Genomic DNA, 12,473 nt, shown 5'->3' with positions numbered 1-12,473 from the left:
CTTAAAGTTTGCATCAGTTTCCAACATTTTATCCTTTGCACGTTCAATCTCATAAAATATTTCTAAGAATTTCTTTAATGGGAAGGTTTTGTTGGTGTTACTTTCTCTTGGGTGCTTGCATCCTTATTTTTTCATAGCCACTTTAGTCATTATGGCTAATTATTTCTGCATTATTTTATATAATTATGAAAGTCCATGTATTAAAATCTATTAGGATGATGATTTTCTGGGTGAGGAAACTGAGGCACAGAAATGTAAAGTAACTTTCCAATGCCACCATTAGCAGCAGATAGAACCAGGATTCAGACTCCAGCAATTTAACCCTAGAACAGGCTTAAATCATTTTGAGAGGTGAAGCCAGCTGGACTTCCTGGATTGAGTGGGGACTCGGAGAACTTTTCTCTCTAGCTAAAGGATTGTAAATACACCAATCAGCACCCTGTAAAAACGCACCAATCAGTGCTCTGTGACTAGCTAAAGGATTGTAAATGCACCAATCAGCCCTCTGTAAAAACACCAATCAGCGCTCTGTGTCTAGCTAAAGGATTGTAAATGCACCAATCAGCACTCTGTAAAATGGACCAATCAGCACTCTGTAAAATGGACCAATCAGCACTCTGTAAAATGGACCAATCAGCAGGACATGGGCAGGGACAAATAATGGAATAAAAGCTGGCCACCCCAGCCAGCAGCAGCAACCCGCTCAGGTTCCCTTCCGTGCTGTGGAAGCGTTGTTCTTTAGCTCTTCAGAATAAATCTTGCTGCTGCTCATTCTTTGGGTCCACACCACCTTTAAGAGCTGTAACACGCTGTAACACTTGCTGTGGAGGTCTGAGACTTCGTTCTTGAAGTCAGTGAGACCACTAACCCACCGGAAGGAAGAAACTCTGGACACATCTGAAGGAACAAACTCCAGACATAACACTCACTGTAAAGGTCTGCGGCTTCATTCTTGAAGTCAGCGAGACCAAGAACCCACCGGAAGGAACCAACTCCGGACAAAATTTAACCACAAGTCCAATAATCTGTGTGATTAAAACGTCTCAACACCTTGGCCCTGCCCCAGAACAATTTCTGAAGGTGAGGCTCAGGCATTGGTGTGTTTTAAAAGCTTCTCAGACAACTCTAATGAACGGCCATGATAGATAATTACTGCTTCTGAGCCGCCAGGGATTACTAATAAGCATTAGCAGCGTTGATAACCTGAAGGAGAAACTACACTCTTCAGTAACTGGTGTTAAGACAGTTGGAAACAAGGTAAGATTGGATATCTACCTCACACATTTGCCTTGGGAAATTCCTAGTGGTTCAATCACTAAATGTATGAATTGTTACTATGTAATTCAAATAGAAAATATGACAGAATAGGTATGTGCCCTAGGGAATAGAGAGAAAAGGCCAAAAGCCAGAAAAACAACAACAACAAGAAAACAAAAACCACAAGAGTAAAAAATTGCCTGCAAAATTAAACTCAAATTACTGAGTATGCACTATTTTAATTGCTTATGGTCACTAAATGGATTAATTTTTCAATCTTTATGTTTTCAAGTCTGTGCGATAAAGCAGTACTCTGGCTAAAACAGCGCCATCACACAAGTCCAGTTGGGTCTGGCTTCAGCTAGACTATTTCGTGCTGCATGATATTGTATCAGGCAGTGTTCTAATACATTAAGAATACTTTAAACTTTTTTTGATTATTTAAATTTTACAATTTGGCTGTTAATTTTGTAAACCCAGAAAACCTGAGAATGGTCTCAGTTAATTTTGAAAGTTTATTTTGCCAAGGTTGAGGATACTCTTCCGTGACACAGCCACAGGAGGTCCTGACAACGTGCCCAAGGTGGTTGGGGCACAGCTTGGTTTTATACATTTTAGGGAGATATGAGACATCAATCAATATACATAAGAAGTACATTGGTTCGGTCTGGAAAGGCGGGACAACTTGAAGCAAAGGAAGGAAGACTCAAAGTTGGGAGGGGTCTTCCGGGTCACAGATAGGTGAGAGACAAGCAGTTGTGTTCTTTTGAGTTTCTGATTAGCCTTTCCAAAGGAGGCAATCAGATATGCATTGATTTCAGTGAGCAGAGGGATGGATAACTGCGTAGAAGGAGAGGCAGGTTTGCCCTAAGCAGTTTCCAGCTTGAGTTTTCCTTTTAGCTTGGTGATTTTGGGGGCCCAAGATACTTTCTTTCACAATTTTTAAGAAAATATTTTTTATTCATTTTAAAAGAAGCCTCAAATAGCATTAATAAGGCTTTTTTATACTGTCGAGTAGAAAAGCATTATGTTCTGTACTATTAATTGAAAAATTGTGAATTTTTCAGCTATTTTTAAAAATAATATTCATTCTTGACAAAATGGTGCCCATGCAGCATTTCCAGAAATAAAAATCAATATAAATAATGGAGAGGGATATATTCACTGCAGCTGCTATAGTAAATGAATGGCTGGAACTTTGTTTAGTAGAACAATTTTTCAATAATTAATCAGTTATACATATTTGACATAAATACATGTAAATATGCTCTTATCAAGTGTCACAAAAATAGGGAATGTATTGTTTTTTAAATCTTTGTATTTATGGAATATAACTACACATTTAAGCAACAAGGTTGAAATAAATCCTTTATTTTTAATAATTTCGTTCTCAATTTCAGACAATAGCTTAAAGAAACAAAAAGGCTCTCAGTAAGTTCAGCTCCACAACTACAGCAAACCTTTGGTTTAAAAAACTTATTTTGAGAATTACCAAGTTGAATATAAAAGCAGTATTTTTCTTTGATACAATCACATTTCGATTACTCTCTAAAAGACACCATGTTATCATTTTTGTGTATGGTGAGAACACTTAATTTGGGATCTAGTTTCCTAACAAATTTTTAAAATATTCAATACAGTATTGTTAATTACAGGCATAATGTTTTACAGAGGAACTCTAGAATTTATTTACCTTGCATAACTGAAACTTTATGCTCATTGAATAACTCGCGATGTCCTCCTTCCCCAGACCCTGGTTAACTACCATTCTAGTTTCTGCTTCTTCAAATTTGATTATTTTAGTTACCTCATATGAGTGAGATCGTGCAATATTTGTCCTTTTGTGTCTTGCTTATATTACTGAACAAAATGTCCTACAGTTTCACTCATGTTGTTGCAAATGGAAAGATTTCCTTTTCATTCTCTTTCAAGTCAGAATAACATTTTATTGTACAAAAATATATGCTACATTTTCTTTATGTATTAAACTGTCAACAGACAAGTGGCTTCCATATATTGGCTATTGTGAATAATACTGCAATGAACGTGGGAGTGCAGGTATCTCCTTGAGATAGTGATTTTATTTCCTTTGGATGTAAACCCAGAAGTTGTGTTGCTGGATCATATGGTAGTTCTATTTTCAATATTCTAAGGAACTTCTACATGTTTTGTGTTGCAATTTCACCACTTTACCTTCTTATCAACAGTCTGCAAGGGTTCCCTTTTCTCCACATATTCACCAGCTCTTGCTTTCTTTTTTTCTTATAATATCCATCTGATATGGTTAGGCTTTGTGTCCCCAGTCAAATCTCATCTTGAGTTACAATCTCCATAATTCCCACGTGTCAAGGGAGAGACCATGTGGAGGTAATTGCATCATGGGGGTGGTTTCCCCCATGCTGTTTTTGTGATGGTAATCTCTTACACTGCTGTAGCTCAATAACACACCTATATTAGCATTGGTGTAGTCGCCATACAGAACATTATCATTACCACAAGGGTCATTCAGGTTGAATTTTTTTCTAGTTTAACTGAAGTATAATTGATAAATTGAAATTTTATATATTTAATGTACACAATGTGATGTCTTAATATAAATAGACAATGTGAAATGATTACCACGATCAAGCTAATTAACATATCCATCACCTCACACAGCTATCATATTTTTGTGTGCATGGCAAGAACACGTGAGATCTACTCTATTAGCAAATTTCAAGCACAGAGTACATTATTATTAACTACAGTCATCATATTGTATATTAGGTCTCCAGAAATAATTACATCTTGTAAGTGAAACCATGGAACTATTGACCAACATCCCTGAATTTCTGCACCCTCTAGGCACTGGTAATCGCAATTCTACTCTCTATGAATTTGAATTTTTTAGATTTCATATATAAGTGAGAGCATGCAGTATTTGTCTGTGTCTAGATTTTTCCATTAAACATAATGCCCTCCAGGAAAACCTATGTTGTTGGAAATGGAAGAATTCTCTTTTGCTTTTAAAGGCAGAATAGTGTGTGTACGTGTGTGTGTGTGTATGTTTGCGTGTGTATGTGTTTGTGTGTGTGTTTGTGTATTTGTGTATCCTTGAGAAAAATTTCTATTGGCTTTTTTGTCCATTTTTTAACTGGGTTGTCTTTTTGGATGTTATGTTGTAAGAGTTCCTTCCTATTGTTTAATATTAACCCTATTTAATATACGGTTTGCAAATATTTTCTTCCAATATATAGATTGTCTTTTCATTTTGTTGTTGTTGTTTTCTCTTTTTGCTCTGCAGAAAGTTTCTAGTTTAGTTTGATGTAGTCCCATTTGTTTATTTTTGCTTTTAATGTCTGTGCTTTTGTTGTCCTGTTCAAAAAAATCATTGTCAAGATCAACACCATGGAGCTTTTTCCTCTATGTTTTCTTCTAGGAGTTTTACGGTGTTAGGTCTAATTATTGTCTTTAAGCTGTATTGAGTTGATTTTTGTGTATGATATAAAATAAAGGCTGAATTTCATCATTTTTCCATGTGGATATCCAGTTTTCCTAACACTATTTATTGAAAAAACTAACCCTCCCCCATTATATATTTTTTGCACCTTTGTCAAAGTTGACCGTATATATGTGAATTTATTTCTAGGCTCTATTCACTTCTCTTTGTCTATGTGTCTGTTTAATGCCAGTACCATATTTTTTTTATTACTGCAGCTTTGAAATGTGATTTGAAATCAGAAAGTGTGATTTGTTTTTGCTTATGACTGCTTTGGCCATTAGAGGCCTTTTGAGATTCCATATACATTTTAAAATTGTTGTAACTATTTCTGCAAAAATTGCCATATGAATTTTGATAGAGATCGAATTGATTTTGTAGATGTCTTTAGGTAATATGGGCATTTTAATAATTTAATTATCTTAATTCACTAATATTATTTTTCCAGTCCATGAACATAATATGTCTTTGTTTGTCTTCTTCAATTTATTAAATTAATGTTTTATAGATTTCAATGTACAGGTCTTTCACTTGCTTGGTTAACATTACTTCTAAGTATTTTATTGTTTTTTATGCTATTGCTAATGGGATTGCTTTCTTAATTTATTTTTTTCAATAGCTTGTTGTTAGTTTATACAAATGCAACTGTTTTTCTATGCAGATTATGTATCCTGTAACTTTATTTCCTGAATTCATTTATTTGTTCTAACAGTTTATTGGTGGTGTCCTTATGGTTTTCTATATATGAGACCATGTCACTTGCTCATAGAAGCAATTTTAATTCTTCTCTTACTATTTGAATGTCTTTCATTTCCTTTTCTTGCCTAAGCATCCTGGCTAGGACTTATATTACTATCTTGAATAAAAATGATGAGTGGGCATCCTTGTCTGGTTCCTAATCTTAGGGAAAAAGCTTTCAGCTTTTTACCATTGAGTATGTTGATAGCTGTGGGCTTGTCATATATGGCCTTTGTTATGTTGAAGTACATTCCTTTTATATCTAATTTGTTGACAGTTTTTATTATAAAAGAAACCTGAAGTTTGTCAAATGCTTTTTCTGCATATATTCAGATGAGCATATATTTCCTATTCTTACCTCTATTAATGTGTTGTATCACATTATTGACTCGTGTATGTTGAATCGTCTTTGCATCTCAGTGTTACATGTCACTTGATCATAGTATGTGATCCTTATAATGTGCTTATGAATTTGGTTTGCTTGTAGTTTGTTCAGGAGATTTGCGTCTATGTTCATCAGAGGTAATGGCCTGTTTTCTTTTCCTGCAGTGTCCTTTTATGTCTTTAGTATCAGGGCAATACTGACATTGTAACATGAATTTGGAAGTCTCCCCTCTTCCTCAATTTTTTTGAGGAGTTTGAAAAGCATTGACATTAATTGTTTAAATGTTAGGCGAAAATTCACTAGTGATGCCGTGTGGTTCCAGGCCATTCTTTTTTGGGAAGTTTTTGATTAACGACTCAAAATGCTTTCTCATTATTGGTCTGTTCATATTTTCTATTTCAATATGATTTAATATTGGTAGCTTGTTTGCGTCTAGGAATTTATCCATTTCCTATAGGTTATCCAATTTGTTAGTACATAATTATTCATAGTAGCCTCTTATGATCATTTGCCATTTTTGCAGTCTCAGTTGCAATGTCCCATCTTTCATTTCTAATTTTACTTATTTGAGTCCTCTCCCATGTTTTTCACAGTGTAGGAGAAGGTTTGTCAATATTGTTTATTTTCTCAAAAATCAACTTTTGTTGATAATTTCTATTATTTTTTGGTCTTTATTTCATATAACTATGCTCTGATCTTTGTTACTTTCTTCTTTTTACTCAGTTTAAGCTTTATTCTTATTTTCCAGCTGCTGAAGGTATATAGTTAGGTTGTTTATTGGATACCATTCTTTTCCGTTAATGTCAGTGGTTACTGCTATCAATGTAGCAGTTAGAATTCTACTTAGAATTGCCTTTGCTGCATCACATATATTCTGCTATTTTGTGTTTGCATTTTCAGTGGTATCTATCTATCTATCTATCTATCTATCTATCTATCTATCATCTATCTATCTATCTCTTCTTTAAACTATTCGTTGTTTAGGAGTGTGCTGTTTAATTTCTTCCTATCTGTAAATTTTCTAATTATCCTCATATTTTTTATTTCTAGTTTAACAACATTGTGTTCAAAAAACATACATGGTATAATTTCAATCTTCTTAAATTTGTTAACACTTATTTTGTAGCTTAACATATGATCTATACTAAAGTGTCTTCCATGTGCACTGGAGGAGATGTATTCTATTGCAGTTTGATGGAAGGTTCTGTCATGTCTGTTAAATCTATTTGGTCTAAAGTGGAATCCAGTGTTTCCTTATTGATTATCTTTCTGGATAATCTACCCATTTTTGAAAGTGGGACACTGAAGTCCCATATTATCATTGTGTTGCTGTATCTTTGTCCCCTCAGTTATATTAATATTTTCCTTACATATTAAGTGTTCTGATGTTGGGTATACATATATTTACAACTGTTATATTACTTAATTGGCCGCTTCATCACTATATAATGACCTTCTTTTTCTCTTTTGACAGTTTTTGAATCCAAATTCCTTTTTTTCTTTATTTTATTATATATATTTTAATTATAATTTAAGTTCTAGGGTACAGGTGCACAATGTGCAGATTTGTTACATATGTATACATGTGCCATGTTGCTGTGCTGCACCCATTAAGTCGTCATTTACATTAGGTATATCTCCTAGTGCTATCCCTCCCCCCTTCCCCCACCTCACAACGGGCCCCAGGGTGTGATGTTCCCCTTCCTGTGTTCAAGCGTTCTCACTGTTCAATTCCCACCTATGAGTGAGAACATGTGGTATTTGGTTTTCTGTCCTTGAGATAGTTTGCTGAGAATGATGGTTTCCAGCCTCATCCATGTCTCTACAAAGGACATGAACTCATCATTTTTTATGGCTGCATAGTATTCCATGGGTAAATGTGCCACATTTTCTTCAGTCTATCATTGTAGGACATTTGGCTTGGTTCCAAGTCTTTGCTATTGTGAGTAGTGCCACAATAAACATACGTGTGCATGTGTCTTTATAGCAGCATGATTTATATTCCTTTGGTTATATACTCAGTAATGGGATGGCTGGGTCAAATGGTATTTCTAGTTCTAGATCCCTGAGGAATCGCCACACTGTCTTCCACAATGGTTGAACTAGTTTACAGTCCCACCAACAGTGTAAAAGCATTCCTATTTCTCCACATCTGCTCCAGCACCTGTTGTTTCCTGACTTTTTAATGATCACCATTCTAACTGGTGTGAGATGGTATCTCATTGTGGTTTTGGTTTGCACTTCTCTGATGGCCAGTGATGATGAGCATTTTTCATGTGTCTGTTGGCTGCATAAATGTCTTCTTTTGAGAAGTGTCTGTTCATATCCTTTGCCCACTTTTTGATGGGGTTGTTTGTTTTTTTTCTTGTAAATTTGTTTGAGTGAGTTCTTTGTAGATTCTGGATATTAGCCCTTTGTCAGATAAGTAGATTGCAAAAATTTTCTCCCATTCTGTAGGTTGCCTGTTCACTCTGATGGTAGTTTGTTTTGCTGTGCAGAAACTCTTTAGTTTAATTAGATACCATTTGTCAATTTTGGCTTTTGTTGCCATTGCATTTGGTGTTTTACACATGAAGTCCTTGTCCATGCCTATTTATGGTATTGCCTGTTTTCTTCTAGGGTTTTTATGGTTTTAGGTCTAACATTTAAGTCTTTAATCCGTCTTGAATTAATGTTTGTATAAGGTGTAAGGAAGGGATCCAGTTTCAGCTTCCAATAACAGGTTCTCAAATTGAGGCAATAATTTATAGCTTACCAAACAAAAAAAGTCCAGGACCAGATGGATTCACCACGGAATTCTACCAGAGGTATAAGGAGGAGCTGGTACCATTCCTTCTCAAACTATTTCAATCAATAGAAAAAGAGGGAATCCTCCCTAACTCATTTTATGAGGCCAGCATCATCCTGATATCAAAGACTGGCAGAGACACAGCAAAAAAAAAGAGAATTTTAGACCAATATCCCTGATGAATGTCGATGCAAAAATCCTCAATAAAATACTGGCAAACTGAATCCAGCAGCACATCGAAAAGCTTATCCACCACGATCAAGTGGGCTTCATCCCTGGGATGCAAGGCTGGTTGAACATATACAAATCAAGAAACGTAATCCAGCATATAAACAGAACCAAAGACAAAAACCACATGATTATCTCAATAGATGCAGAAAAGGCCTTTGACAAAATTCAACAGCCCTTCATGCTAAAAACTCTCAATAAATTAGGTATTGATGGGATGTATCTCAAAATAATAACAGCTATTTATGACAAACCCACAGCCAATATCATACTGAATGGGCAAAAACTGGAAGCATTCCCTTTGAAAACTGGCACAAGACAGGGATGCCCTCTCTCACCACTCCTATTCAACATTGTGTTGGAAGTTCTGGCCAGGGCAATCAGGCAAGAGAAAGACATAAAGGGTATTCAATTAGGAAAAGAGGAAGTCAAATTGCCCCTGTTTGCAGATGACATGTCTGTATATTTAGAAAACCCCATTGTCTCAGGCCAAAATCTCCTTAAGCTGATAAGCAACTTCAGCAAAGTCTCAGGATACAAAATCAATGTGGAAAAATCACAAGCATTCTTATACACTAATAACAGACAAACAGAAAGCCAAATCATGAGTGAACTCCCATTCACAATTGCTTCAAAGAGAATAAAATACCTAGGAATCCAACTTACAAGGTATGTGAAGGACCTCTTCAAGGATAACTACAAACCACTGCTCAAGGAAATAACAGAGGACACAAACAAATGGAAGAACATTCCATGCTCATGGATAGGAAGAATCAATATTGTGAAAATGACCATACTGCCCAAGGTAATTTATAGATTTAATGCCATCCCCATCAAGCTACCAATGACTTTCTTCACAGAATTGGGAAAAACCACTTTAAAGTTCATATGGAACCAAAAAAGAGCCGGCATTACCAAGTCAATCCTAAGCCAAAAGACCAAAGCTGGAGGCATCACACTCCCTGACTTCAAACTATACTGCAAGGCTACAGTAACCAAAACAGCATGGTACTGGTACCAAAACAGAGATATAGACCAATGGAATGGAACAGAGCCCTCAGAAATAATACCACACATCTACAACTATCTGATCTTTGACAAACCTTACAAAAACAAGAAATGGGGAAAGGATTCCCTATTTAACAAATGGTGCTGGGAAAATTTATTTTTTTCATATAAGTATCCCTATTTTCTTTTGGTTTCCATTGGCATAGAAGATCTTTGTTGGCTGGGCATGGTGGCTCACACCTGTAATCCCACCACTTTGGGAGGTTGAGGCGGGCAGATCACCAGGTCAGGAGATCGAGACCATCCTAGCTAACAGGGTGAAACCCCGTCTCTACTAAAAATACGAAAAAAATCAGCCAGGCGTGGTGGCAGGTGCCTGTAGTCCCAGCTACTCGGGAGGCTGAGGCAGGAGAATGGTGGGAACCCAGGAGGCGGAGCTTGCAGTGGGCTGAGATCTCGCCAGTGCACTCCAGTCTGGGCGACAGAGCAGGACTCCGTTTCACAAAAGAAAAAAGAAAAAAAGAAGAAGATCTTTCTCTATTCCTTTATTTTCACTCTATGTTTATCCCTAAAGCTCAAGTAAGTCTATTACAGGCAGCTTGTAGTGGGGTCTTGATTTTTATTTTTATCCACTTAGCCACTCCTTCTTTTGATTACAGAGCTTAATCAATTTACTTTTAAAGTAAATATTTATATAAAAGGACTTAGTATTCCCATCCGGTTAAGTGTTTTCTGACTGTTTCTGACAGTCCCATCGTTCCTTTCTTCTTCTCCTGCTATTTTCCTCTGAAATTTAATAATTTACTGCATTGGTAAGCTTTGATTTATTTGTTTTTACCTCTTGCGTATCTACTATAAATTTTTGCCTTGTAGTTAACATGAGGTTTACCTAACACATCTTACAAAGAAAATAGTACATTTTAAGGCAATTACAACTTAAATTCAATTGCATACACCATCTCTACACTTGTACTTCCTTCCATCTATATTTTATTTTTTGATGTCACATTTTACATGTTGTTATATCATGTATCCGTTAACGTGTTATTTTAGCTGCAGTTATATTTAATAGTTTCTCTTTTAATTTTTATACTAGAGTTAAGAGTGATTTACATGGCACTGTTATAATAATGTGAATATTCTAAATTTGATTGCATACTTAACTTTACCAGTGAGTTTCTCCTTCATTTCTGAGGAAATAAAGTTAGGTTGGGACAGATTTTCTCAGTTACTGGTGGTGCCCACGGGCCAGTTTGAGGGATTCACAGGTGAAGCCTCCTGAGTGGCTCCCAGGTAGGCTCCCGGATGGACTCCACAAGTAATTGGTGGCCATCTTTTCACTTCACAGTCCTGGTTTCCGTGAGTTTCTTCCTATTTTCCCTGCTCCCAGCTTCTCCCAACCACTCAGTCATGTCAGCAGTCTAAGTGAGGTGAGAAAGAGGAGGTTCTCTTGGACAGCATCCCACACAGTTGGGGAAAGCAGGCACTCACTATGCACTCACTTTTTTCTGTGGTAGAAATAACAAGTGTCTCTCTTTACACTGAACTGTGCTGCTTTGGGGAAGATGACGGGTGAGGTAAAACTGTTATTACAGTCTTCAGTTGTTTGTTTTTAGATTTTGTGTTCCAGTGTCATTTCTGAACTTCTTTACTGGACTTTGGGATTTCCACAAAGCTATTCTTGTTCACAAGTGCTTGTTAAAATCAATGACGGTAGACAATACCTAGTCTGCCATCTTGCTGACATCAGATCTCTCATTTGAACTTTTATATCCATATTCACTTCCTTCCCAATAAACACCCTATTATTAACCCCTGACAACCAGTAATCATTTTCCATCTCTATGATTTTTATCATTTCAAGAATATTATACAATTGGAATCATACAATATGTAACCTTTTGGGAATGGCTTTTTTTTTTCTCAGCAAAACTCTTTGGAGAGTCATCCAGTTTTTTGTGTATATCAATAGTTTATTCCTTGTTATTGTAGAATAATAATCCATGATACAGGTATGCTAGAGCTTGTTTGATCATTCACATGTAGAAGGTCAACTGGATTGACTCCAGTTTGGGGTTATTATGAGTAAAACTGCTCTAAACTTTTATTTATAGACAGTCTCTAAACATAACCCTTTATTTCTTGGCAATAAATGCCTAGAGATGCAATTGTTGGATTGTATAATGCATGCATGTTTAGTTTTTCAAGAAACTGACAATTATTTTCCAGAGTGTTTTATCGTTTTGTATTTCCATCATTAATGTATGATTGATCCAGATTCCCCACATCTTTACTAGCATTTGATGTTGTTACAAAATTTTGTTTTAGCTATTTTATAAGTGTATAATGATATCGAATTATAGGTGTAATTTGCATTTCTTTAATAGGGAATGGTGTCAAACATATTTTCATGTGCTTATTTGTCACCTGTATATTTTGGTAAAATGTCTTTTTATATATGTTGCTCATGTTCAGTGTGGATTTTTTGTTGTTTTTACTGTTGAATTTTGAGAGATTTTCATGCATCTAGATAATAGTTTTTGTCAGATGTGTGATTTACAAATATTTTCCCTCAGTCTGTCGTTTGTCTT

At 35.8% G+C, this 12,473-nt stretch overlaps 1 annotated feature.

Moving 5' to 3' along the window:
• Nucleotides 530–1,729: an enhancer, noted in NCBI's record as "BRD4-independent group 4 enhancer chr18:63231174-63232373 (GRCh37/hg19 assembly coordinates)". NCBI's record gives its function as "activates an origin of replication core promoter dependent on BRD2, P300/CBP, MED14 and CDK7 cofactors, and independent of BRD4, by STARR-seq in HCT116 cells {active_cell/tissue: HCT116}" and the evidence as "EXISTENCE:reporter gene assay evidence [ECO:0000049][PMID:35650434]".

This window comes from Homo sapiens, chromosome 18 (genome assembly GCF_000001405.40).
Source record: "Homo sapiens chromosome 18, GRCh38.p14 Primary Assembly".
NCBI classification, from domain to species: domain Eukaryota; kingdom Metazoa; phylum Chordata; class Mammalia; order Primates; family Hominidae; genus Homo; species Homo sapiens.
Note: the sequence above shows the minus strand (reverse complement) of the source record. Positions and strands in the feature narration are given on the sequence as shown.